The 27571-nt window shown below is 45.7% G+C and overlaps 1 protein-coding gene across 23 annotated transcripts in view, besides 2 other annotated features; it reads right to left on the bottom strand.

Moving 5' to 3' along the window:
• Nucleotides 1-22830, bottom strand: part of ZNF254 (zinc finger protein 254) — a 96520-nt gene extending 73690 nt beyond the window's left edge. For 7 of the 23 annotated variants that reach the window (XM_047439738.1, XM_047439739.1, XM_047439740.1 and 4 more), the window contains exons 1-3: nucleotides 22658-22830; nucleotides 10000-10095; nucleotides 6731-6874 (exon numbers count right to left, since the gene is read on the bottom strand). The gene's annotated coding sequence lies outside the window, so the exon portion shown is untranslated. Of the gene's footprint in view, nucleotides 1-5976; nucleotides 6341-6439; nucleotides 6875-7264; nucleotides 7343-9999; nucleotides 10096-22657 lie in introns of all 23 variants that reach the window. The other 16 variants (XM_047439744.1, XM_047439745.1, XM_047439751.1 and 13 more) reach the window with 6 other exon arrangements.
• Nucleotides 22485-22534: an enhancer, noted in NCBI's record as "active region_14397". NCBI's record gives its function as "activates an Ori minimal core promoter by ATAC-STARR-seq in GM12878 lymphoblastoid cells {active_cell/tissue: GM12878}" and the evidence as "EXISTENCE:reporter gene assay evidence [ECO:0000049][PMID:35858748]".
• Nucleotides 22545-22754: an enhancer, noted in NCBI's record as "active region_14396". NCBI's record gives its function as "activates an Ori minimal core promoter by ATAC-STARR-seq in GM12878 lymphoblastoid cells {active_cell/tissue: GM12878}" and the evidence as "EXISTENCE:reporter gene assay evidence [ECO:0000049][PMID:35858748]".

Below are 27571 nucleotides of genomic sequence, written 5' to 3'. Positions count from 1 at the left end.
GTGTCAAACCCAGCAATATGTCACAATTGCTTATGTGGTCGGGGAACAGGCAGGAGAGTCACATAACCTGGGCATAGGGCTCAGAGACATGTCCCAACGCCTTCCGTAGGCAGTGCCAAGGCAGGGGAGGAGACTCAAATCATTTAAGTGTAAGGTCCAGCGATATGTCACAATGTCCCCTGTGAGCAGCACCAATGCAGAAAAATAGAATCACATCCCCTCAGTTCTGGGTTCAGCTATGTGTCACTATTCCATCTGTGGGCTGGTCTTAGGCAAGAGAGTCAGATCACTCAGGTGCTGGGCAGAGAAAAATGTTACAATTAAACCTGTGGGAAGGTGCAGAGATGAAATTAACAATCCCACACATGTTCCGGTTTTAGGTAAAGGAGGTTAACCCTTCCTATATGTTGTGTCTAAGAACAGGAGTTACAATGTCAACAGTGAACTAAATTTGTACCTGACAGCCTATACTCCTCCTGTGGACTTTGTCTAATTAGTGAAGTCACAGCCTCATACGCATGCTGAATCTTGCTCTGAGTGTCACCAACTCACCTATGGACTGGATCCATATATAAGAGTCAATTTTTCCACCTTTGACTTCCTCTAGGTGTGATCCAGAACTTCAAAAGTGGGCTGTGTTTATGTGAGAATATGATGATGTATACTTTTTGATGGGTGTTCATATAACAGTGAAAATCTCCAGGCCGGCTGCAGTGGCTCACACCTGTAATCCCAGCACTTTGGGAGGCTGATGCAGGTGGATCACGAGGTCAGGAGATTGAGACCATCCTGGCCAGCATGGTGAAACCCTGTTTCTACTAAAAGTACAAAAATTAGCCGGGCATGGTGGTATGTGCCTGTAATCCCAGATACTCAGGAGGCTGAGGCAGGAGAATCACTTGAACCCGGAGGTGGAGATTGCAGTAAGCTGAGATCGCGCCACTGCACTCCAGCTGGGGTGACAGAGCAAGACTTCATCTCAAAAGAAAAAAAGAAAAAGAAAAAGAGAAAATCTCCTCTGTGTGCTGGGTCTTGTTAGTACACTCTTTTTTTTTTTTTTTTTTTTTTTTTTTGGTGAGACAGAGTCTCGCACTATCACCCAGGCTGGAGTACAGTGGCATGATCTCAATTCAATGCAACCTCCACCTCCCGGGTTGAAGCAATTCTCCTGCCTCAGGCTCCCAAGTAGCTGGGATTACAGGTGCCCACCACCATGCCCAGCTAATTTTTTGTATTTTTTAGTAGAGATGGGGTTTCAACATGTTGGTCAGGCTGGTCTTGAACTCCTGACCTCGTTTCACCCACCTCGGCCTCCCAAAGTGCTGGGATTACAGGCGTGAGCCACTGCGCCTGGTTAGTACACTATACTACTCAAAGGCTTTATCCAGTATAAATGAGAGGCACAATTTACTCTAAAATCATGTTTGTAAGCACCCATGACCATACTTGTGGCCCTAAGCCCAGGTATTAGTCAACATCTCTCTTAATTTGTTGGGTTTAAGAGAGTAGAGTCCTCATCTGCTATGTTCTGAGTTTAGAAATGTGTCACCATCTCAACTGTGGTTGGAGGCTCATACATGAGTCACAATTCCAACTGTGGACAGTGTTTGCATTTGAGATTCTGTTTGCATTTGAGATTCAAGACTTCAGCCATAGGCTCTTTCCCTGTGTGAGGGTGATAATCCTAATAATTGGTGAGGTGTGCATATAAGAAACAATCTCACCTTTGTGCTGTGTGCCCTGGGATAACACGTTTGTAACACTCGAGGGCATTATACAATATGTTAGAGTGTGGCAATTCTTTATGACCTTCATAAAAAGAGAAGACCAAGGAAGTGACTCATTTATCTAAGTCGAGCTATGAGAGACAGTATTTCTTCCAATAGCTGACTAGAGGTATGAGAGTCATCATTCCACTTATAAGCTGACTATAGTATATGTCACCATTTAACCTGTAGGTAGGGAGTTAGCAAGAGAGTTACATCACCTGGGATTTCAGCCAAGGTATCTCACAATCTTCCCCGAGGGAAGGAAACAAGCAGGAGTGTCATATCACCTGGGTGCTCAGCCAGGGATATGTTACAATTCTCTCCTGAAAGCACAGCACAGGCAACAGAGTCACATCACCTGGGTGCTGAGCTAAGCACTATGTCACAATGCTCCCTGGGGGCAAGACAGGGGCAGAAGAGCCATATCACCTGGTGTCTGGTTCCAGGGATATGTCACAATATTTCCTGTTCAGGGCACAGTGCAGGCAAGAAGTGTCACCTTTTAGGTCATGGACGCAGATATATGTCACAAGGTCCCTGTGGGCAGAGCCCAGGCAGGAGCATGCAATCCCATAGGTAGTGGGCCTAGCAATATTTTACAATATCCAAAATATTTGAGGCCCAGGGAAAACAGGAGAATCACATCACCTAGATGCTGGGTCCAGTGATATGCCGCAATCCTCCCTTTTGGCAGGGCCCAGATAGAAAAGAGTTACATCATCTAGGTGATGAATAAAAAGATATGTTATAATACCTCTGTGGACAGGGCCCATGCAGGAGATTCACATCATCGAGGTGTTAGAACAAGCCACATGTCACAATACACAATGTACAAGAGGAACCAGGCAGCACAGGAGAGTCACACGACCTAGGTTCTGACCCAGCAATATATTACAATCCCTTCTTAGGAAAAGCCTAGGAAGTAGAGGAAAGTCATATCACCTGGGCACTAGGCCCTGTGATATGTCCAGTGTTCTCTGTGGAAAGCACTAAGACAAGAGAATAGACTCACATCACCTAAATGCTGGGTCCAGAAATATGGCACAATCCCATCTGTACGTTGGGCCCAGGCAGGAGAGTCAAATTACTTAGGTGCTTAAAAAAGGTGTATGTCACAAACACACCTGAATTAAGGTCGAGGTATGAGATTAACAATTTCACACATTTCTTAGTTCTAGGTATGAGACAAAATACCCTCTGTATGTTGGGTGTAAGTACCTGAGTGACAGTCTCAATGATGGTCTGGATTTGTGCATGAGAACTTCAATCCTTCCTGCAAATTCTGTCATTTTAATGAAGTCACTGACTCACAGGTGTGCTGAATCTTGGTCTCAGAGACACTAACCTCTCTATGGATCGAATTAACATGAGATTTAATTTTCTAACTTTCAACTTCATCTGGGTATGAGATTCAGAACCTCAACAGTGAGCTGTGTTTATGTGGAAGGATGACAGTCTTTACTGTTGGCAGGCTATGCATATGAGTGTCGCAACCTCCCCTGTGTGCTGAGTTCTGTTAGGACATTCCCTGTACCTCTTGACGACTTTACACAGTATGTGACAGAGTGTTAATTCTTTATGACCTTCATACAAAGAAGAAACCCAAGACATTACTCATTTTCCTGACCCTGGCTATGAGAACTAGTGTATCTGCTATTGGTTGTTTAGAGGTATGAGAGTCATATTGCCCCTATAAGTTTGGATAAGATATGTATCACAATCCCACCAGTGAATAGGGATTGACCAGAAGACTCACATCACCTGCCTTTTGGGGCAATATGTCACAATCATCTCTAAGGGCAGGGATAGGGCAGAAGTGTCACACCACCTGGGTGCTCGATTAGGGATACGTTACAATCTCCTCTTGAAAGCAGAATATAGTCAGCAGAGTCACATCACCTGGATGCTAGGCCCAGTGACATGTTACAATGATCTGTGGGCAAGGACCAGGCAGGAAAAACACATCACTTGATTGCTGAGACCGGTGATTTGCCACAATCTTCCCAGTGGTCAGGGTGCAGGCAAAAAGGGGAGTTAAATCTCCTAGATAATGAATGCAAAGATATGTCACAAGGTCACTTATGTGCTGGGCTCAGGCAGAAGCCTCCGATTTCATGGGTGTTGAACTCAATGGTATGTCACTATACCCAAAATATGCCAGAAACAGGAAAAATAAAAGAATCACATCACCTAAGTGATGGAAAGATGATACAATACTTCTGTGGGTGGTTCCCCTGCCATAAAGTTGTATCACCTAGGTGTTGAATCCAGGCATGTCACAACACACAATGCATGCAGGGCTTAGGCAGAAGAGGAGAGTCACAACACATAGGTGGTGAGTCCAGCAACACATCACAATCCCTGCTTGGGCAAAGCCCAAACCATAGAGAAGAGTCACATCACCTACTGGGCTCAGCAATATGTCACACTACCCCTTATGTGGAGGGCCCATGCAAGAGAGTCACATCACCTATATAATGGGCTCAGCAATATGTCACAATACCCATTCCGGGGAAGGCCCATCCAAGAGAGTCACATCATCTAAATTACGGGCCCAAAAACATGTCAAAATGCTCTCTGTGAGTACAGCTCAGGAAAATAAAAGAATCACACGACCTAGGGTTTAGGCCCAACTATATGTAAAAAACACCCCAGTTCGCAGAGCCCATGCATGAGAAAAGAGTCACATCACCTATGTGCTGGGCCCAGTGATATGTACCAATACTTGTTTTGGCAGTTCCCAGGTAGAAGAGGAGTGTCGCATCACCTAGGTGATTAACAGAAAGATATTTCATAATACCCCTATGGGCAGGGCCCATGCAGGAGAGTTGCATTACCTAGGTGTTAGACTCAGTGATATGTCTTAGTACACAATGTGTGCAGGTCCCAGGCTGGAGAGGAGAGTCACCTCATCTAGGTTCTTGACCCAGTGGTATGTCACAATCCCTTTTTGTGCAGAGATGAAACAGCAGAGTCACATCACCCGGATTCTGGGCCCAGCAATATATCACAATACCCCAAGAAGACAGTCCAAACAAAAGAGTTACATTGGCCAGGTGTGGTGGCCCATGCCTGTAATCCCAGCACTTTGGGAGGCCAAGGCAGGTGGCTCACTTGAGGTCAGGAATTCGAGACCAGCCTGGCCAACATGGTGAAACTTCATCTCTACTAAAAATACAAAAATTAGCTGGGCGTGGTGGCATGTGTACCTGTAATCCCAGCTACTCAGGAGGCTGAGGCAGGTGAATCACTTGAACCCAGGAGGCGGAAGTTGCAGTGAACCAAGATCACACCACTGCACTCCAGCCGGGGCAACAAAGCCAGACTCTGTCTCAAAAAAATAAAAGTTATATTACCTAATTAACGGTCTCAGAGATAAGACACAGTGCCCCTCACAGATAGGGCTCAGGAAGAAGTGTGGAGTCACATAACATTTGAGCTGGCCCCAGCTATGTGTCAAAATCACTCCAGTCGGCAGGGCCCTGGCATAAGAAGACAGTCATATCGAAGCTAGGTGCAGTGGCTCATGCCTGGAATCCCAGTACTTTGGGAGGCCAAGGCAGGCGGCTCACCTGAGGTTGGGAGTTTGAGACCAGCCTGACTAACATGGAGAAACCCCATCTCTACTGAAAACATAAAAAAAATTTGCCAGGTGTGGTGGCGCATGCCTGTAATCCCAGCTGAGCCAAGATCATGGTATTGCACTCCAGCCTGGGCAACAAGAGCAAAACTCTGTCTTAAAAAAATAAATAAATAAAAAGTCACACAATGTAGGTGCTTGGCCAAGCAATATGTCACAATCCCTACTGTGGACAGGTCCCAGGGAGAAGAGAGTCACACAACCTCAGCAATGGGCCCACATATATGTTACAGTGACTTCTGCGAGTCAGCAGAAGAATCATATCACCTGTATGCTAAATTCAGCAGTAAGTCACTCTCTCTTCTAAGGGCAAGGCCCAGGCAGGAGAGGAGAGTCATATCACCTTGGTGCTGGGCCCATTTGGTCAATGTCCAGGTAAGAGAGAAGAGTCACATAAAATAGTCAAAGGGTGCCAAGAGCAATGGTTCACACCTGTAATCTCAGCACATTGGGAGGTCAAGGCGGGTGGACTGGCTGAGGTCAGGAGTTTGATATCGGCCTGGCCAACAGGGTGATATCTTGTCTCTACTGAAAACACAAAAATCAGCCAGACGTGGCGGCACACACCTGTAGTCTCAGCTACTCAGGAGGCTGAGGCAGGAGAATCACTTGAACCCAGGAGGCAAAGGTTGAAGTGAGCAGAGATCACGCCACTGCACTCCATCCTAGGTGACAGAGTGAGATTCTGTCTCAAAAATAAAATTAAAATAAATAAAATATAATACAATAAATAAAATAAAATAGTCAAAGGGCCCCAGATATGTTACAATGCACCTTGTAGGCAGGGTCCAGGCAGGAGACTCATATCACATTTGTTCTGGGCCCAGTAATATATCACCACACCTGCTGAGGGCAGTGCCATGACACAAGAGTACTGTCACCCTAGTATTAGGCCCAGTGACATGTCACAATATCCCCTGTGGGCAAAAACCTAGAAGAGGAGAAAAGTCATGTTAGCTAGGTGCTGAGCCCTGTGATACATCACAATCCTTTCTGTGAGTAGGGGCCAAGCAGAAGAGAGCTGCATTACCTGTGTGATGGATGCAGGGATATGTCACAATGTCCTCTGTAGGCAGGGCCTAAGCAGTAGAGTTACATCACCTAGGTTTGGGACCCAACAGTATGTCACAATGGGCCACATGGGCAGGGCACAGGCAGAAGAGTCACATAACCTATGTGTGGGGCCCAGCGATATGACACAATGCCCCCTGTGGAAGAGCCAAGGCAGGAGAGAAGATTCACACCACCTGGGTACAAGACCCAGCAATATGTCACAATGTCTTCTGTGGGCAGTGCCAAGGCAGTGGAATAGTTACATTACCTCAATTCTGGGTCCAACGATATGTCACAATCCTTTCTGGGGGCTGGGCTCAGGCGGGAGCAACAACTCACTCTGTTGCCAGATAAAGTCACATGTCATAATCACACCATCAGAAATGTTCAGGGATGAGATTATACATCTGGACTGGAAAGAATCAACACATCAAAAATATGACCAGATTGTGCATGGTGGTGCATGCCTGTAATCCCAGCACTTTGGGAGGTCAAGGCGGGAGGATACTTTGAGCCCAGGAGTTTGAGACTATCCTGGGGGCCACATGGTGAGACAACCCCTATATTAAAAAATAATAAATAAATTAAAAAAAAAAAAAAAATATATATATATATATATATATATATATATAAAACCAGAGCCTGAAAAACATAGCAAGACCAAGTCTCTTCTTAAAAAAAAAGGAGAGATAGATGATAGATTGATTACAGGTAGGTAGGTAGGTAGGTAGGTAGTTAGGTAGGTAGACAGACAGACAGAGATAGAACCAGGCATGGTGGCTCACGCCTGTAAGCTCAGTACCTTGAGAGGCCGAGGCCAGCAGATCGCTTGACCGTGGGAGTTTGAGATCAGCCTGGAAAACATGATGGAACCCCATCTCTACAAAAATAAAAAGCAAGATATGCAAAATAATGTGCCAGTGTGGTGCCGTATACCTTTAGTCCCAGTTACTAAGGAAGCAGGGTGTCTGAAACAGAAGAATCACCTGAGCCCAGGGAGGTCGAGGCTGTAGTTAGCTGTGATCAAGTAACTGCACTTAAGCCTAGGTGAAAGAAATCTAAAACAACAGCAACTGCAGTGTACAGGAAGGAGCATGAGAGAGAGAGGGAAAAAAAACCCAAAAAACAAAAACCAACAAAACTCAATGTACTGTGGAAACAAACTCAAAGTGGGGATAGAAAAAAACAAACAAACAAAACACAGAACTATCCCCAGATCCCCAGCTATTTGGGAGGCCAAAATGGGAGGATCACCTGGATGAGCCCAGGAAGGTGGAGGGCACAGTGAGCCATCATTGAGCTTTTCTGGTGGACCTAAGCGGTACTGCACTGGCGAGAACCATCTGGTCCCCCTTAAACATTTTAAGCTGGCGACCAAGTCCTACGCTTGTGGCCGACATCCTGTAGACCTGGCAGCCAGAAGGAGAAGCCAGCTCATGGCGGAGGCAGAAGCCCACCAGTTCCACCCTGGGCCATGTGTGGCGCTTGCGGCCTGAAGCTGTCCCCGTTGGAAACTTATTCCCCCCAAGGTGGCCCACCTCAGTGGCCGGCCTCTAAGTCTGCTGACCTTCCTTCCTAAGCTTTGAATCTCTGATCAACCCAAACGTGTGGCCAGCGGCCACAAGTACTGGCCACAGCTCAGCCCACATCTGGTCACCTGATGGTGTGACCAGGAAGCCACTAGGTCCACCCTGCAGGCCACGTGTGGAGCTCGCGCCCAAAGCTGTCCCTCTGGCGACTAAGTCTGAGAGCTTCCCACCTACCTCTGGGTGACAGAGCGAGACTAACGCAAAAAAAAAAAAAAAAAAAAAAAGAAGAAAAGAAAAAAAGAGCCGGGTGCAGTGGCTCACACCTGTAATCCCAGCACTTTGGGAGGCTAAGGTGGGCAGATCACCTGACGTCAGGAGTTCAGGACCAGCCTGACCAACATGGAGAAACCCCATCTCTACTAAAAATACAAAATTACCTGGGCGTGGCGGCACATGTCTATAATCCCAGCTACTTGGGAGGCTGAGGCAGGAGAATTACTTAAACCAGGGAGGTAGAGGTTGTGGTGAGCCAAGATCACGCCATTGCACTCCAGGCTGGGCAACAAGAGTGAAACTCCATCTCCAAAAAAAAAGAAAAGAAAAAAGAAAAAAAGAAAAATGTAGAATAAAGAAAGAAATGAAGGAAAGAAGCAAGCAAGCAAGAGAGAGAGCAAAAAAAAAAAAAAAAAAAGGAAGAATGAAAAAGAAAATAAAAAGAGGGCAGAACATGGTGCCTCAAACCTATAATCCCAACACTTGGGGAAACTGAAATGGAAGAACTAGTTGAGCACAGGAGCTTGACGCCAGCCCTGGGAACATAGCGAGGCCTCGTCTCTACTACAAGAAATAAAAAATTTAGCCAGGCATGATGGCATGCTCATGTAGTAGGAAAGAAAACAGGCGGGAGGAAAGGAGGGAAGAAAAGAAGAAAGAAAGGTAGGAAGGAAGGAAAAAATAAACCAAGTTCTACAAGGAAAAAAAATTAAAAAGAAACAAAGGGAAAGAGAGAAGGAGGAAGAGAGAAATACAAAACAAAAAAAAGGAAGAGAGAAACAGAGGGAAAGACACATAGAAAGAGAGAGACAAAAAGGGAGAAAAAAATAGGAAAATAGGAAAGGAGGCCAGGCACAGTGGCTCACACCTGTAATTCCAGCACTTTGGGAAGCCGAGGCATGAGGATCACTTGAGGTCAGGAGTTCGAGACCAGACTGGCCAACATGGCAAAACCCTGTCTCTACTAAAAAAAAATACAAAGAATTAGCCAGGCATCGTGGCGCACAACTGTAATCCCAGCTATTCAGAGGCTGAAGGATGAGAATCACTTGAACTCAGGATTCAGAGGTTGCAGTGAGCCAAGATTGCACCATTGCACTCCAGCCTGGGCAACAGAGCAAGACTCTATCTCAAGGGAAAAAAAAAAAAAAAGGAAAGATGAAAGATGAAAAAAATAGAACCTAAAAAAGGAGAGGCAGAGAAGAAATCAGCACTGGGTGAAGCCTCCAGGAGGCCACACCAGCTGTTTGCCCACCTGCTGTGCAATGACCTTATGTTCAGAAGCCACTCCCTCTACACTGAAGAGCTATGAGATATGCGAAATAATTGTTGTTCACATTGTGACTCTCAGGCAAACAAAATACATGGTTTCATTGTTTGAATCCTGTGGTTTCTTTCAGCCCACTTTTATTGACTTAACCTAGTTAATGTATATTTTGAATTGTGTGTATGGCTTCAGAACTGAAGTTGATAATGAAATCTCAAGTTTTGATAGCCCAGGAAGTACATAAATATCTAATTTCACCTGAATTGATTTGAGGGAAAATTACCAGTGGAATGCCTTGGTCTGATTATCTGATAGAATCAATTGTTGCACATAAAACAGATCTGCACATATATATATATATATATATATATATAAAAAATAATAAAATAATGGAAGACAAAAGAAAATCTGGCTTATTGACCTTTGAACCTCTCACCCAGGCCACCTACCATCTTTACTCCCACTTACCTGGCTGTGCAGCTATGGTCTCCTCACTCTTCACAGTCCAGGGCTCTTTCTTTCCCTCCAAAAAGGTCACCAGGTCCAGCTTAGAGATGGCAAGACCTGTTTTTTAATAAAAAGTCAGATGATTAATGCTGGAGGATATGTAATTGCCAGCTCAGTACTGTGCTCAGTGGAGAAAAGGGGACATTATATAAGATTTTTAAAAATTATTCCCCAAAATACTGTTTCCTACCAGCTTCTTTAGAATATGTAGGAAGTATTTTACGTTTAGAAATTCTGTGCTTCATTTTCAAGTTTGAATGAATCAAAACTAAGGGGGAGGGCTGGAAACACTAGGAAGATTTTTTTCTACATCAACAAACTTAGAATTTTTTTTTTCCTGAAAGCAAAACTCTGAAATTCATTCAGACAAAGCACTACCTCCCAAGGAGACATTCTAAAAAGGAAAGAAATAAAGCCCTTGTTATGTTGCAACCCAGCGAGTTGTAGAGAAACACCACACTCTGAGACTAATTCAGGAGTCCTTTATTGCCAGCGACCGAGAGATGGCTAGCGCTCAAAATTCTCTCGGCCCCGAAGAAGGGGCTAGATTTCCTTTTTTTTTTTTTTTTTTTTGAGACAGAGTCTTGCTGTGTCACCCAGGCTGGAGTGCAGTGGCGCGATCTCAGCTCACTGCAACCTCCGCGTCCCGGGGTCACGCCATTCTCCTGCCTCAGCCTCCCAAGTAGCTGGGACTACAGACGCCGCCACCACGCCCAGCTAATTTTTTGTATTTTTAGTAGAGACGGGGTTTCACCATGTTAGCCAGGATGATCTCGATCTCCCGACCTCGTGATTCGCCCACCTCGGCCTCCCAAAGTGCTGGGATTACAGATGTGAGCCACCACGCCCGGCCAGATTTCCTTTTATACCTCAGTCTACAAGGGGAGGGGGGAGCCTAGCTGAAGCAATTTTACAGAAGCAGAACAGGCAAAAAGTTAAAAAGATAAATGGTTACAGAAACAGTTACAGAAAAAATGAACAGTTCCAGGTGCAGGGGCTTAAACTATCACAAAGTGATAAACGCAGGGGCTTTGAGCGCATTCCCAGGAGCTGCTGGTACAGCTTGCCTCAGTATCTTATCAGTAAGTGTATTCCTGGATGTGCTTGGAGTCAGCTTGCACTGGTTATGCCCTTAAGGGAGAGGGGTAAAGGGGCTGCAAGTAAAGAAACTAAAATGGAGTCTGTCCGGCTCTCTCAGCTAAGAGAGACAATCAGGTTAAAACAAGGTACGGTATCATAGTTATTAGACATTAGATATTCTGAAGGTAAGTTATTCCGACTCAGAGACAACGTATGTATAGTTCTCTAACATCAAATCTCTATACATATTCTGCTGAGAAGGGTTCAGGTATTTTTACTCCTCCAGAGAGAATTCTATGACCACATCCCTGAATGTCAACAGTTTCTCTAATAAAAATAAATAACACATTGATCATGCAGTCAAGGGCAGAGTTCCTAATTTGACCCAAGATGAAATAAGAAAGTTAAGACAACTGGTTCTGACTTATGAGTGACCTGAGTTACTAAATAAGATACTTTTAAACACAGTAATATTTCGAATATATTCTCTAATTCTGTGGAAATATAAGATCCACAAAACTAGCATAAATATGCACATATAAAACAAAATATAAACACGAATCAATATAAGAATATACATTTTTGAGTGCTATTTTTGTATTTATTTATTTATTTTTTTTTTTGAGACTGAGTCTCGCTCTGTCACCCAGGCTGGGGTGCAGTGGCGCGATCTCGGCTCCCTGCAAGCTCTGCCTCCCGGGTTCATGCCATTTTCTTGCCTCAGCCTCCCAAGTAGCTGGGACTACAGGTGCCTGCCACCATGCCCGGCTAATTTTTTGTATTTTTAGTAAAGACGGGGTTTCACCATGTTAGCCAGGATGGTCTCAATCTCCTGACCTCGTGATCCACCCGCCTCGGCCTCCCAAAGTGCTGGGATTATAGGCGTGAGCCACCGCGCCCAGCCTGTATTTTTTTTTTTTTTTAAACGGAGTCTTGCTCTGTCGCCAGGATGGAGTGCAGTAGTGTAATCTTGGCTCAGTGCAACCTCCGCCTCCCGGGTTCAAGCAATTCTCCTGCCTCTGCCTCCTGAGTAGCTAGGATTACAGGCGCCTGCCAGCACGCCCAGCTAAGTTTTTGTATTTTCAGTAGAGATGGGGTTTCACCATGTTGGCCAGGCTGGTCTCGGAATCCTGACCTCATGATTTGCGCGCCTCACCCTCCCAAAGGGCTGAGATTACAGGCGTGAGCCACCACGCCCAGCTGAGCTTTGCGTTTTACCCCTATTTATCTGACTTGAAATTTATCTCAAAAGGACTTATGAGCCAATATACAGAGATAACTGTAAAACAACATCCAGAGCAGTTTTCATAACTGAGAAGATTGATATAAACAAGGCAACAACAGAAAATTGATCAAATGATGCTTACATTTTATGCACACACCCACAGAAATGGTAAGTATGTACACATGAAAAGTTGGAGAGTAGAACATTTCTGTTTAAATGAAGAAATATTTTAAATTATATAAAAATTATAAGCCTCTTTGTGCATGCTTTTTTGTGTTTCCTAAAACAAGGATGAAGATCAAAACATTTAATGATATAAACTAAATTAAGAGCTATTGTTACTGAATCGGGTGTTTCTTAAAATTTTTTGCTTTGGCCGGGCACAGTGGCTCATGCCTGTAATCCCAGCACTTTAGGAGGCTGAGGTAGGTGGATCACCTGAGGTCAGGAGTTTGAGACCAGCCTGACCAATATAGTGAAATGCCGTCTCTAGTAAAAATACAAAAATTAGCCAGGCATGGTGGCATGCACCTGTCGTACCAGCTACTCGGGAGGCTGAGACAGGAGAATTGCTTGAACCCAGGAGGTTAAGGTTGCAGTGAGCTCAGATCGTGCCACTGCACTATAGCCTGGGCGACAAAGTAAGATTCTATCTCAAAAAAAAAAAATTTTTTTTTGGCTTTATGTGCCATGTTATATTTTAGATTTTTAAGATGACATATTAGCTATATATTAATTTTTGTTCTCTTTCTCTGAAAATACAGAAAATGAAATGTATGCTTGTAAAATAAAGATGAAATAAAATAAAAACCTACAAAACTGATACCTTTTTTAGAACTTCCAGTTTCAAAAGCTGATATCTACAGTCAACAAAAATGAGATTTGTTCTCCAAAGCAAGCTATAAGCAAAAAACAAACAAAAAAACCTAAAAAGAAAAAGAAACAGAGTTTTTCAATTAAATGTGACAATTTATAAACCTCACTTGGGAAATCCATCCCTCCAAGATACTCATTCATAATAAAGAGAAAAATAACTTTATAGTGAAGAAACTTGGCAGAAAACACCTTAGCCAGATGAATAAAGTTAGTGTCAGCTGTAATTAGACAAATTGGATCCAGAGGCCAATGCACAGATGGGCCCATAATTACTGCCGTGATATTAGTGGAGAGGAAAGTAAATACTAATCTGAATCTAATCATGAAAAAACATAACCTGTAGGGAAGACACAGGTACTGGTTTGTCCGGAATTGGTGGGTTCTTGGTCTCACTGACTTCAAGAATGAAGCCGCGGACCCTCGCAGTGAGTGTTACAGCTCTTAAGGTGGCGCGTCTGGAGTCTGTCCCTTCTGATGTTCAGATGTGTTCGGAGTTTCTTCCTTCTGGTGGGCTCGTGGTGTCGCTGGCTTCAGGAGTGAAGCTGCAGATCTTCACGGTGAGTGTTACAGCTCTTAAAAGCAGCGTGCACCCAAAGAGTGAGCAGTAGCAAGATTTACTGCAAAGAGTTAAAGAACAAAGTTTCCACAGTGTGGAAGGGGACCTGAGCGGGTTGCCAATGCTGGCTCGGGCAGCCTGCTTTTATTCTCTTATCTGGCCCCACCCACATCCTGCAGATTGGTAGAGCCGAGTGGCCTGTTTTGTCAGGGCGCTGATTGGTGCGTTTACAATCCCTGAGCAAGATACAAAGGTTCTCCACCTCCCCATCAGATTAGTTAGATATAGAGTTTCAACACACAGGTTCTCCAAGGCCCCACCAGAGCAGCTAGATACAGAGTGTCGACTGGTGCATTCACAAACCTTGAGCTAAACACAGGGTGCTGATTGGTGTGTTTACAAACCTTGAGCTAGATACAGAGTGCCGATTGGTGTATTTACAATCCTTGAGCTACACATAAATGTTCTCCACGTCCTCACCAGAGCAGCTAGATACAGAGTGTCGACTGGTGCACTCACAAACCTTGAGCTAAACACAGGGTGCTGATTGGTGTATTTACAATCCCTGAGCTAGATATAAAGACTCTCCACGTCCTCACCAGAGCAGCTAGATACAGAGTGTGGATTGGTGCACTCACAAACCTTGAACTAAACACAGGGTGCTGATTGGTGTATTTACAGTCCCTGAGCTAGATATAAAGACTCTCCACGTCCCCACCAGACTCAGGAGCCCAGCTGGCTTCACCTAGTGGATCCCGCACCGGGGCTGCAGGTGAAGCTGCCTGCCAGTCCTGCGCCGTGCGCTCGCATTCCTCAGCCCTTGGGTGGTCGATGGGACTGGGCGCCGTGGAGCAGGGGGTGGTGCTCGTCGGGGAGGCTCGGGCCGCACAGGAGCCCATGGAGTGGGTGGGAGGCTCAGGCATGGCGGGCTGCAGGTCCCGAGCCCTGCCCCGCAGGAAAGCAGCTAAGGCCCGGCGAGAAATCGAGCGTAGCGCCGGTGGGCCAGCACTGCTGGGGGACTCAGTACACCCTCCGCAGCCACTAGCCCGGGTGCTAAGTCCCCCATTGCCCGGGGCCAGCAGGGCTGGCTGGCTGCTCCGAGTGTGGGGCCCACCAAGCCCACGCCCACCCGGAACTCCAGCTGGCCCGCAAGCGCCGCACGCAGCCCCGGTTCCCGCTCATGCCTCTCCCTCCACACCTCCCTGCAAGCTGAGGGAGTGGGCTCCGGCCTTGGCCAGCCCAGAAAGGGGCTCCCAAGTGCAGTGGGGGGCCTGAAGGGCTCCTCAAATGCCACAAAGTGGGAGCCCAGGCAGGGGAGGTGCCGAGAGCAAGCGAGGGCTCTGAGGACTGCCAGCACGCTGTCACCTCTCACTGGTATTTCTTCAAACTTGTCATGTATCCTAACTGGAAGCCTGGGCTAAGAACCACTTAGCTGACCATTGCTTCTCAAGCTTCGATGTGCATATAGCTCATTTGGTATTCTGAGCCACTCTCTAACTAATGTGATTCTGCAGGTTTTGGAGGGGTCCAGAAATTGGCTTCTTTATCGAAAGTTCCCTGTTAATGCTGATGTTGCTCTCCAGCACTCAGAGAAAGTATAGCACACAGAGTCCCTTACATCTAATACCTTTATTGCAACACAAATACTTTTTGTTACAGTGAAGACCACAAGTCACTGTCTCAGAGGATCACATGCTTTGCCAGCTTTTTAAAGTTTACAGAGGCTGGAGAATGTAGTAATGTCTACATCTGCATTTGAACAACATGTACACATACATTAATACAGTGTTTATTGAGCTTGTACTATGTGCTCACCATGTATGCTGTAATGTGCTGTGCTGGGAAACTCGCATTGTGTCGGTTAAGCCTCAAAAAATTTTGAAAGGTGGGTACTAAGTGTCTCATAATTCCCAGTAGGATTTAGATGATGGCTTAGGCTATTTCTTCTGGTTTCCCTATCACTATAAAAGCTAAATACAGACAGATGGGAGGGATATAGAAAGGAAGGGATAAGTAGAGAGACTTTTAATTGTTGTGTTTCTATTTACTTTCTCATGACTGTGGAACAATTATTGGATCTGCAGAAGTGTAAAACAGGTTGCTGTGTAAAATGTAAGCACTGGTTTCATTGAGAAAGAAAGACATTAAGATTCCAAATGTATACTCCTTTGCTCTCATTTATTTGCTTTTAGGTTTGGAAAAATTCTGAGCTCCAGCTCTGAAGAAACACCAAGGGTAGACACCCGTTTTACACTTCTGCAGATCCAATAGTTGTTCCAAACAGGAGTCTGATCTCCTGTAATTAGTTCTAATTAGTTCTGTGAGGGGAGATTTCAGGGTGGGGCCAGACCTGGACAAGGCTCATAGAGCATAGGTCTGGATAGGGCTGGGGCAGGGAGTTGGCCCTCAGCTTCTCTTCTCTGTGCTGCTGGCTTATTTTGTGTTCTATCTTTTCTAAGCTGGACCAACAAGAACTTGACTCCCAGAATTTTTCTGATTTTAATGGTTTAAGCCTCTTCTCTATTTTGCATGACACACTAACAACCGACTTAACCAAAACATGTAGTACTTTCTAGAAAAACTATATTAGAAACGATTCTTAACAAGGGAAAAGCAACAGAAATAATTGTAACAACTCTTCTGTCTATGATGTCCCTTCAGGTGGTGACATCAGAACTCACAACAACATAAGAGCAGTGTCCCAAATAAAGCCCAAGTCTTCTGTGCAACTCCCTTCTTCATTCTGATCACATTACTCTTAATTCAACCATGTATTTACTGGCTCTAGAATAATAATTCCTGAATAGTAGAGTCCATGACTGTTTCACCTGTTTTTCTAATGGCAAATAATAATAATAAAAGCAATTTGTTTACATATCAGTTTGAGCCTCCAGACCTCCTACTTGTTCTTCACCCAAGTATCAAGAAATGAGAGCCTGTAATCCCAGCTACTTGGGAGGCTGAGGCAGGAGAATCACTTGAACCAGGGAGGCAGAGGTTGCAGTGAGCCAAGGTCACGCCACTGCACTCCAGCCTGGCAACAGACAGAGACTCTGTCTCATAAAAAAATAAACAAATAAAAAACAACAACAAAAAAACTTTCTCCAGTAATACAACTCACACATAGGAGATGGGGTTGCATTCATGCATTCATGGCTCTGGACAGTTGTGGCCCTAACTTCCCTTGGCTAACATGCTTCTTTACACTTAGAGATTCTGCCACCAGATTCAGTTTATACCAGGAGCTCCTCACACAATCTCAAAATTTCACTGGACAAGATCCAAAGCCTGGCCCTGTCTTGTTAATCCCAGGTGGATTTCAGCCCTTATGTGTGGATTCTAGGTACCATTAACTTGGCTCCATATTGTGTTACAGTGAGGAGAGGAAAAGTAGAGGAGAAATCCCCACATGAAGACTGCTCCAACACAGAATGGAGAACCCTATTAGCTGGACTCAAAATTTGGAACTGCAGATTTAGGTTTAGGAGGGCAGAAAAGCAAGCCAAAGGCACCCTTGCCACATGCATAGGCATTTGGACAAGAGAATAAGCAAAATGTTTAGATTCTCAGGCTTACTCAATGCAAATGTGTGAACCTGGTTGAGTTTTCAGGCCAAATGGTATTTGAAAGAATTTCGCATCTGAAGATGCCAGGGGGATAGAAAGACAGAGCTGGAATAGTTAATTGTTGCCCTGTAGTAATTTTCGTAGAAATCTGGTAAAAGTATGCTATTAATGATTGCAGATCCCAAATACGAAGAAAGGCCATTCTGCCTGCAGACTTTGAGGGCAGTGTGCACTTTACTGCACAATTGTGTGTTGTGAATGGAAGCCCAATTGCACAATTGTATGTTGTGACTGGTCCATACAGAATGAAGCATGGTGGGCACAGTATGTGTTCATATCCTGTTTAGTAATTCTGGACAAACTTAGAGAAACATAATTATAAACAGAATTATCTGAAGCCTCAGAAAAATTATACACAACTGGAGAAGAGAAAAAAAAATTATTACAGAATTACTCCAGAATGTGAAGGCCATTATAAGCAAACTGCTAAGAGATTGCAAAGACACTCAATTGCAAATAGCCACCATAATTAGTTCTCAAGTAGAAGAACTGACAGCACCATTGGTCACATACAGTTTATCTTAAATTCACCTAAAAATTGGAGGTCTTCTTTGGTTGCTAATTGGCTATAATTAAAGGAAAAATAAACTAATGTCTTCATGAGAGGTAGTTTTGAAACTTGGAACCAGGACTGTGCTGAAGGTAAACTCCTATCTTCCAACAGAAAATGGAATAAAGTTCTATTTTCTTTGCTATTTACATTTTAAATAAATGATTCCTAGGTTCTAAAAACAGTCCTGAGTCAAAAATACTGACAAAAAGCCTATTTAGCAGTTAGAATAATTTGTATCTATTTCAAGTAGGCAGAAAAGAATTATATAAAAGTTTTCTGGCCAGGTACAGTGGCTCACGCTTGTAATCCCAGGACTTTTGGAGTCCGAGGCGGGTGCATTACCTGAGGTCAGGAGTTCGAGACCAGCCCAGTCAACATGGTGAAATTCCATCTCTACTAAAAGTACAAAAAATTAGGGCCAGGTGTGATGTCTCACGCCTATAATCCCAGCACTCTGGGAGGCCGAGGCAGGTGGATCACCTGAGGTCGGGAGCTCGAGACCAGCCTGACCAACATGGAGAAACCCCATCTCTATGAAAAATACAAAATTAGCTGGGCGTGGTGGCACATGCCTGTAATCCCAGCTACTCAGGAGGTTAAGGCAGGAGAATCGCTTGAACCTGGGAGGTGGAGGTTGCGGTGAGCCGAGATCACACCACTGCACTTCAGCCTGGGGGACAAGAGCGAAACTACATCTCAAAAAAAATAAAAAATAAAAAAACAATTAGCCGGGCATTGTAGTGCACGCCTGTTATCTCAGCTACTTGGGAGGATAAGGCAGGAGAACTGCTTGAGCCCAGGAGGTGGAGGTTGCAGTAAGCCGAGATTGTGCCACTGCACTCCAGCCTGGGTGACAGAGCAAGACTCAGTCTCAAAAAAAACATAAAAATAAATAAATACAAAAGTTTTCTAAAGTAAATGCTTTAAGAAAAGGAAAGAGAAAAATCTTTTATTTTCAAGGATGAAGACTGTATTTCTAATTTTTGTCTGTTCTTATGACAGCCAGGTCTAGGGCTATAATCTTGAACTCATGGACATCTGACTCCCAGTAGGTGCTGGATTCAGGCACCTGAGGCACACTGTGCACATCAGAAAGGGTTTGTAGAAAAGCAAAAGACAGAAGAGGGAAAGGTGCTATCAAGGACCCGTGAGTGGGGGACAGTGCATGGTAGCTGGAAAGACTGGTTTATGCTACAGATACTGATTCAGGCAGGGTTATGTTCTGACATATTCCTGTGTCCATGCAGGTGGATGAGATTATGATTGGTAGTCCACAAGCCCAGGGTGATAGAGAGACCAGGTTGCTGCTTCAGGTTCAGGGTTTGTGGTAGGGATAATCCAGGAGTCCTCTAGGCACTTGTGTAATTCTTTGGTGAGAAATTTTAGAGGTAAAGCCACTATAGAGTAATTCCTCAGATCAAGTCTTCTTGTTTTGTGAAGATTCTGGCCACACCCATTCCTAGTGGGTATGTTCATTAGTAGGCGGAAATCATTGGTGGTAGCAGGTTGAGGGCAGGGAGTCTGTTTTCAGAACTTCTTTCTTCCAAGCCCTCAGTCCCCTTTCACCCTGGGAAGAGATCTGGAATCACAGGACAATGTGCATTGTGACAGCCTGTGTGCAGAACAGAGTTCCCCTTCCCAGAGAAACCAAGAGTCTCCCTCCAGCTCAAATATCTGTGATATTCTTTTTCTGACAACAAATGTGTGGAGTTTGCTGAACAGCAACCAATTCTCCAACACCAACTGGTTGTCCAATAACTCAATTCTGATACCTCCTTGAGTCAGCATAGACCCTACAAGTTCAGGGCTCAGTCCCACAACACTGCCACCACTGCAGATCCCAGTCACAATTCCTAGGGTCTCATCTATACTTCTGAGCCAGTTCCTATAAACTGGGGGCTCTCATAATCTTCTCAAGTTAAATAATGATACAGCTACTCACAGAACTTAGCAAAACATTATAGTTGCAGCCAGGCGCGGTGGCTCACACTTGTAATCCCAGCACTTTGGGAGGCCGAGGCGGGTGGATCACAAGATCAGGAGATCAAGACCACGGTGAAACCGCGTCTCTACTAAAAATACAAAAAAAAAAAATTTAGCCGAGCATGGTGGCAGGCGCCTATAGTCCCAGCTACTCGGAGAGGCTGAGGCAGGAGAAAGGTGTGAACCCAGGAGGCGGAGCTCGCAGTGAGCCAAGATCGCGCCACTGCACTCCAGCCTGGGCGACAGAGTGAGCCTCCATCTCAAAAAAACAAAACAAAACAAAACAAAACAAAAGCATTATACTTGCATTTACCAGTTTGTTATAAAACACACAAGTCAGGAAAAGCTAAATGTAAGAAACATACAGGGCAAGGAAAACTCATGGTGGAAGATGAAGTGGGCAGGTAAGAGCAGTGATTAAAGAAATTCCTGAACTTTTGTGTTTTCAAGAGCATCTTATTGCAAAGAAACACCCTTCCTATTTTTGATATTATGAAGCCACAGACTGTCTAAATTGCTATTTTTTTGCCTTATAAACAATTAATACATTCGTCTTCAGTAGTTAGAACAAAATACCTGTTAATCAAACTTTGCTTAGGTTTCTTTCTTTCCTCAGGCTCCCAAATTTTGACCCAACCACAACCCCTCTTTATGTTCCTCTTTTTTCTTTGAGACCGAGTCTCGCTCTGTCACCAGGCTAGAGTGCAGTGGTGCAATCTCGGCTCACTGCAACCTCCACCTCCCAGATTCAAGTTATTCTCCTGCCTCAGCTTCCCGAATAGCTGGGAATACAGCGTGCCACCAAGCCCGGCTAATTTTTTGTATTTTTATATTAAAAATACCGCACTCGGCCTATGTTCCTCAAAAACAGGCTGACTTGGCCGGGTGTGGTGGCTCATGCCTATAATCCCAGCACTTTGGGAGGCTGAGGAGGGTGGATCACCTGAGGTCAGGAGTTTTGGACCAGCCTGGCCAACATGGTGAAACCCCGCCTATACTAAAAATACAAAACATTAGCCAGGCATGGTGGTGCGCCTGTAATCCCAGCTACCTGAGAGGCTGAGGTGGGAGAATTGTTCCAACCTGGGAGGCGGAGGCTGCAGTGAGCGGAGATCACGCCAGTGCCCGCCTGCCTAGGCAACAGAGCGAGACTCCATCTCACAAAAAACAAACAACAACAAAAAAACCAGGCTGACTTCTGGGTAAAATATTCCCTAATCTAGCATCTGCTTTCACCATGTTCTATCCCTCCCTCCCCTTCCCACTTTTTTTCTGACCTTCTTTTCTTCTTATGAAAGAAAGTCCTTTTCTCTCTAACCTTTAAAATTCTCCAATATCTTATAGCTGGTGCTTTCCCCTTGCTGCAATACTCCTTTAAAATTAAGTAACTTCATGCTGCGCATGACGGCAGGTGCCTGTAATCCCAGCTACTCGGGAGGCTGAGGCAAGAGAATCGCTTGAACCCGGGAGGCGGAGGCTGCAGTGAGCCAAGATCGCACCACTGCACTCCAGCCTGGGCGACTGAGGGCAACTCCGTCTCAAAAAAAAAAAAAAAAGTAACTTCTTGCCAGGCACAGTGGCTCACACCTGTAATTCCAGCACTTTGGAAGGCCGAGGTGGGTGGATTACCTCTTGTCCAGAGTTGGAGAACAGCCTGGCCAAAATGGTGAAACCCCGCAAAAATTAGCTGGGCGTCGGGTCGCCTGCTTGTAGTCCCAGGTACTAGGGAGCCTGGAGGATCGCTTGAATCTGGGAGACAGAGGTTGCAGTGTGCCGAGATCGTGCCACTGTACTACAGCCTGGGTGACAGAATGAGACTCTGGCACAAAAGAAAAAAAAAAAAAAAAAAAAAACCCACTTACCTAAATCTAAATTTGTCATATATCACAAAATCTAGAAACAACCTCAGAACAATAACTCTATTCCCAGAAAAAGCCTCCCAACCCCATTTTTGTGCCAACCCCAACTGCATCTGCCTGTGGATGTATAGATTTTCAGGGCTCTGCAGCTTCTCTAAGCATAAAGGTTCTGTCCATGGCTATTGTGAGCAGGCTGGGACATCTGCAGGAGAGGCTCCGCCGGCAGAACTAAACTATCCTTAGCTTGAGTCACTGAGTTCAGGCTTCTATTTCCCGGTCAGGCCGAGGCGGGCGGATCACTTGAGTTCCAGACCAGCTTCCACCATGGCAAAACCACTTCTCTACTAGAAATACAAAACTAGCCAGGCGTGGTGGCGCAGGTATGTAATCCCAGCTTTTCGGAGGGCTGAGGCACGAGAATCGCTTGAGTCTAGGAGGCGAAGGTTGCAGTGATCGTGCCACTGCACTCCAGCCTGGGCGACAGGGCAAGACTCCGTCTCAAACAAACAAAATGTTTAAGAAAAGAGACTCGGGAGCCCCACCTGCCGCAGCTCCTGCCACGCACACACCAAGTCAGGATTCCGCCCTGATGATCCGCCTGGCATCCCTGAACAATCTGGGAAATACTCGGGGCTGCATGCAGAGCTGCCCAGGGAGCTCCAGACTGGGCGCCGCAGGGACGGGGCTGAACGCGGGGATCCCGGCTGCGGGCCCAGCCGCCATCTTGCGGCCAGAGGGGCCTGGGGCTGAACTGCGCCAGCAGGGACCTCAGGTCGGAAACCCGGGAGCGGTGACGAAGGCAGTCCCGCCGGTTTCACAGCCCGCTCTCTCCTTTCGGGATGCCCAACCCCGCACACTCACCCTTTCCCAGCTTCCAGGATGTCCTGACATCTTAGCTGTGCGTCTCTCCGGACCTGCAGATCACAGGGCAACAGAGGCCGTCACAGAGTCCCCAGGGGCTCCCGAGGTGGAGAATGCAGAAGAGCAGAGACGGATTCCAAGCTCTGGTGGGAGCGAGAGACAAAGGCCCAGCCAAATGCCGGAAACCATGCACTCCTCTTCAACTGCGCGCTTGATTGGGCGGTTGCCGCTCCAGCGCCAAGGATTGGATAAGGACCGGCACTCTCCCCATACCACTCCCACCCCCACCCCCTGCCCCCGCCCCGTTCAGCATTAGTGCGTTTTATGAACAGAAAAACAGGCTAAAGTAGGTAGGGTAAAATGCACAGGGAATTACAGCTAATTAAGAAGTGAGCTGAGACTTGAAATGCACTTGCTCTTTCCCTTACCTGGGTCTGCTTGTATAATGCATCTTATTTGCTACTTAAGGGTAAGAAAAGATCATTTGGATTTTTTTTTTTTTTGAGACCGAGTTTCACTCTTATTGCCCAGGCTGGAGTGCAATGGTGCGATCTTGGCTTACTGCAACCTCCGCCTCCCGGGTTCAAATGATTCTCCTGCCTCAACTTCCCAAGTAGCTGGGATTACAGGCGTATGCCACCACGCCCGACTACTTTTGTATTTTTAGTAGAGACAGGGTTTCACCATGTTGCCCAGGCTGGTCTCGAACTCCTGACGCCACACTGGTCTGAACTCCTGACCGCCCGCCAGAGCCTCCCAAAGTGCTGAGATTACAGGCGTGAGCCACCGCGACCCGCCCATTTGGACATTTTTTTTTAACAACTTTTCAATCATTTTGATAATGCAGGAAAGATCTTCATCCCATCCCTGAGCCCCTTTCTAACCATGCTGTACCACACTGCTGACCATATCGTGGGATGTCCATTTGGAATGGGGCTGGGGTCGGGGGCAGCAGAGGCTGAGAATGGTTAAGCAAGAATTATGTTACCCAAATTTGTTCATCTTAGACAGGCTCCTCTATCGTTCCGTGTGAAGTGGCTATTCCAGGGTAATCATGCCCTGACTGCACTGCATCTCAGTCTGACTTCTCTTTTTTAAAATTACTGGATTACTCTCACTAACAGGGTATTTCATCTTCCATTTGAAAATGGCCAACAGTCCTTTGTCGGTTGTCCTGATTTGATTTGCTAGTTTAGACCCTGGAGGTAGAGGTTAGGAAATATTGGGCCACATCAGAATACCTTATTCTCACTTAGAGGATATATAGGAATTTCTTAATATCTAACAGTTTTCTCAATAGCCATTATATTTAACAATGATAGCTTACAGGGCAGAAAGGGGACACAGATGACACAACCTCAGAAATTTAATTTGGTCATAAGTTTTTTTTGTTTTGCTTTGTTTTTGGAGACAAGGTCTCACTCTGGTGCCCAGGCTGGAGTGCAGTGGTACAACCATAGCTCATAATTCGGTTGTAATGGTTCTTTTAAAAATGTTTTTGGCTGGGTTTGATGGCAAACACCTGTAATCCAAACACTTTGGAAAGCCATGGTGGAATGATTGCTTAAGCCCAGGAGCTCAAGACCAGTCTGGGCAGCATAGTGAGGCTCAGTTTCTAGAATAATTTTAAAAATTGGCCTTGTGTGATGTTGCATGCCTACAGTCCCAGCTACTTGAGAGGCTGAGGTGGAAGGATCACTGGAGATTGAGGCTGAAGTGACCCATCATTCGGCCACTGCACTCCAGCCTGGGTGACAGAGTGAGACCTGTATGTGTACACACACACACAAACATATATATACATACACCCACAGACACACATATATATGTGTGTGTGTCTATATATATATATATATATATATATATATATATATATACTCAAAATAATATGTATGTTGAAAGAAATTCAAGCACAGAAGAAAAGTGAAAGACCATGGTGGGGAATGTGATAAAAGGTGAGTGTGGCTCCTACAGCTCAGTTTCCATCTTAAGGAACTGCCCTCCCACACTGAAACCACAACCCAGCACATGCCAATTCTCACACTATTTATACTTTGCCCAAAGGCAACAGAAGGAGGTCAACATCATCATTTGTGCCATGGAAGTCTATTCCCCACTGAGACCTTTTAAAAATGTTACTGTCTTAAGCCCTCTTCCTTCCAATAAAGCCTATACAAATACATACATACAAGCCTGAAAGTACTATAAATAAAATATCAGGGGTTTTTTTTTGGCCAGAAGCGGTGGCTCATGCCTGCAATCTCAGCACTTTGGGAGGCCGAGGCGGGCAGATCACCTGAGGTCGGGAGTTCGAGGCCAGCCTGGCCAACATGGAGAAACTCCTTCTCTACTAAAAATACAAAATTGGCTGGGCATGGTGGCACATGCCTATAATCCCAGCTATTCAGGAGGCTGAGGCAGGAGAATTGCTTGAGCTCAGGAGACAGAGGTTGCAGTGAACTGAGATGGTGCCACTGCACTCCAGCCTGGGTAACAAGAGCAAAACTCTGTCTCAAAAAAAAAAAAAAAATCAGGTTTTTAAAATCCCATAAATAAACGAGTAAACACAAAAACAGCCATTTTGATTGAGGAGAGAGTGGGATGGAGGGGGTCAGGAGGCTGCTCGCAACACCTCTGGGCCCCATGTGGAGGAAGGGATGGAGTCTAGGAAGACCCTGGCTAGTCACTTGTTCTGACTGGGCTTTCCCCTAGCTCCACACTTTGTTAACCATTTCCTGGGAAGAGCTTAGGAACCTCTTGTGCCCTAGTGAGGAAAGGCCTCCCCTCACAGGGTATTGGCGAGGAGGCATTCTGAGACTCTGTGAGAAGCTAGCCCAGTGCTTGACAAGTACCTGTGGAAACTGTCATCCTCTGTAACTATCATGTGGCCTTGGAGTGTTCAGATGGCCTGGCCTGGGGCTTGGCGGAGATGTTTGAGGGTCAGCTGCTTTAGGCTCCCACTTTCTCCTCAATCAAAGTGGCTGTTTTTGTGTTTGTTTGTTTATTTTTGGTTTTTAAAATCCTGATATATAAATAGAAATTGCAGCCGGAGGTGCCGAGGCTCAGGGTCGAGAGCTGTGCACTTGGACTTGCTTGCTGGCCTGTGGCCAGGTGAACTCTGGGTGTGAGATGGTTCCCACCATGGATCTACAATCCCCCCCACCTCTCCCCAGGCCCTGAGTAACCAACACAAGGCGGTGCTAAAGAGCAGGTGAGTGATGGGCATCAACCCCCATCCAGGAAGATGTGAATGCTATCTGGGCTGGGGCTGAGCCTGTCGTACCATGCCTGCTTCCTCATGCTGTTCATGTTTAAAAAAAAAAATTCCTGAGATGGCGCTGCTGGATATGAGTGCTGGAAAGGGGGAGGCACCTTTGTCCTAGGGAATTAGGAGCTGACCAGATCCCTCCTGACTGTCCCCCAGAACAAGTGGGGAGTGGTGTTGCACTAAATGGTGCCCCCCAAATATGTATTTGCACTGGCTCACTGAATACACAATACAGAGGCCTAAATGTAAACACGTGAATGGTGTATGTGGACATCAGCCTGCAGCTGGGAAACAGGTGCCTCTCATTCTCCCCAGCAAGTGTGGAATGTGTCCATGCCCATGAGTATATAGATCTGCCCTTCTTAACTTGTATACAACTCCAGGTCTGTTCTGAGTGAATGACGTGCAGATGAGATTTCTCAAGTCATTGGTATATTTGACACTGTGGCTGCTGCTTTTGCTGCCACTACCCCCAGGCCCAACCTGGCTTAAAGTCCAGGCTTTAGGTCAAAAAGATGGAGGGCTTCCTGTGTTCTGGGATAGGAAGTTGAAGATCTGTGGTAGGACTGGGGGTTGGGATACACTTTAGTTTTATGCAGGATGTGAGCTGCAGTGGTTTTATTAATTGTGATTGTCCTGGCCTCATTGTAGCTCCGGGTGGGGAGAAGGAATTAGCAGTGGTGTTTCCCCAGATATCCATGTGCCCAGCCCTGGCCTTCCTGCCCTCAGGCCCAGAAGTAAGCACCACCATAGACTTTGACTTGCCTCTCTACTCCCTGTACCCCAGATGGGAATACCTTGAAGGCTACAATCTGAATGTATTATTCTCCCCATTTTAACCAGACCTGCCTAACACACAATGAGGGAGTGAGGGTAGGATGGGTGGGAGACCTGGGGAGAACCACAGTGGAATCATAAAAGTTAAAGGTGCAGAAGTGGTGGTAACCTCTCCATGAAGCCCAGCTCCCTACCTGATTCTTGCCACACAGTCCCTCCTACAGACACCGGCTCTGGGGGTGGTTGGGGATCCCTATAGACCCGGGCTGTTCTCTGTCCCCACCTGCCTGTGCTCCTTCTCTGTTTTTGTTGTTGCTATTGTTGTTGTTGTTTGTTTTGTTTTGTTTTTCAGATGGCAGTTTCATTCTTGTTGCCCTGGCTGGAGTGCAATGGCACGATTTCAGCTCACTGCAACTTCTACTTCCTGGGTTCAAATGATTCTCCTGCCTCAGCCTCCCAAGTAGCTGGGATTACAGGTGCTCACCACCACACATGGCTAATTTTTGTGTTTTTAGTAGAGAAGGGGTTTCGCCTTGTTGACCAGGCTCGTCTCAAACTCCTGACCTCAGGTGATATGCCTGCTTCAGCCTCCCAAAGTGCTGAGATTACAGCCATGAGCCACCACACCCGGCCCCTGTGCTCCTTCTCTTTGCCTGCTGTCAGGGCCCTAACATGGAGGAGGAGGCAGGTCCTCAGCCTCAGGTATAGCTGAATGTCTTTTGGAGTGTTTGAAGCATGATTTATGTCTTAGAAATTCTAAAAAGTAAAATGAATTCCAATAGTAATGTCTGTTAGTTTTCCTGAGCCAACTGGAAGAAAAGGATTTTTCACCTGAAATTTTTAAATGACACCCAAGGATAGCCACCAGT

This window comes from Homo sapiens, chromosome 19, assembly GCF_000001405.40.
Source record: "Homo sapiens chromosome 19, GRCh38.p14 Primary Assembly".
In the NCBI taxonomy this organism is placed as follows: domain Eukaryota; kingdom Metazoa; phylum Chordata; class Mammalia; order Primates; family Hominidae; genus Homo; species Homo sapiens.
This window is presented reverse-complemented; position numbering and strand designations above follow the sequence as displayed.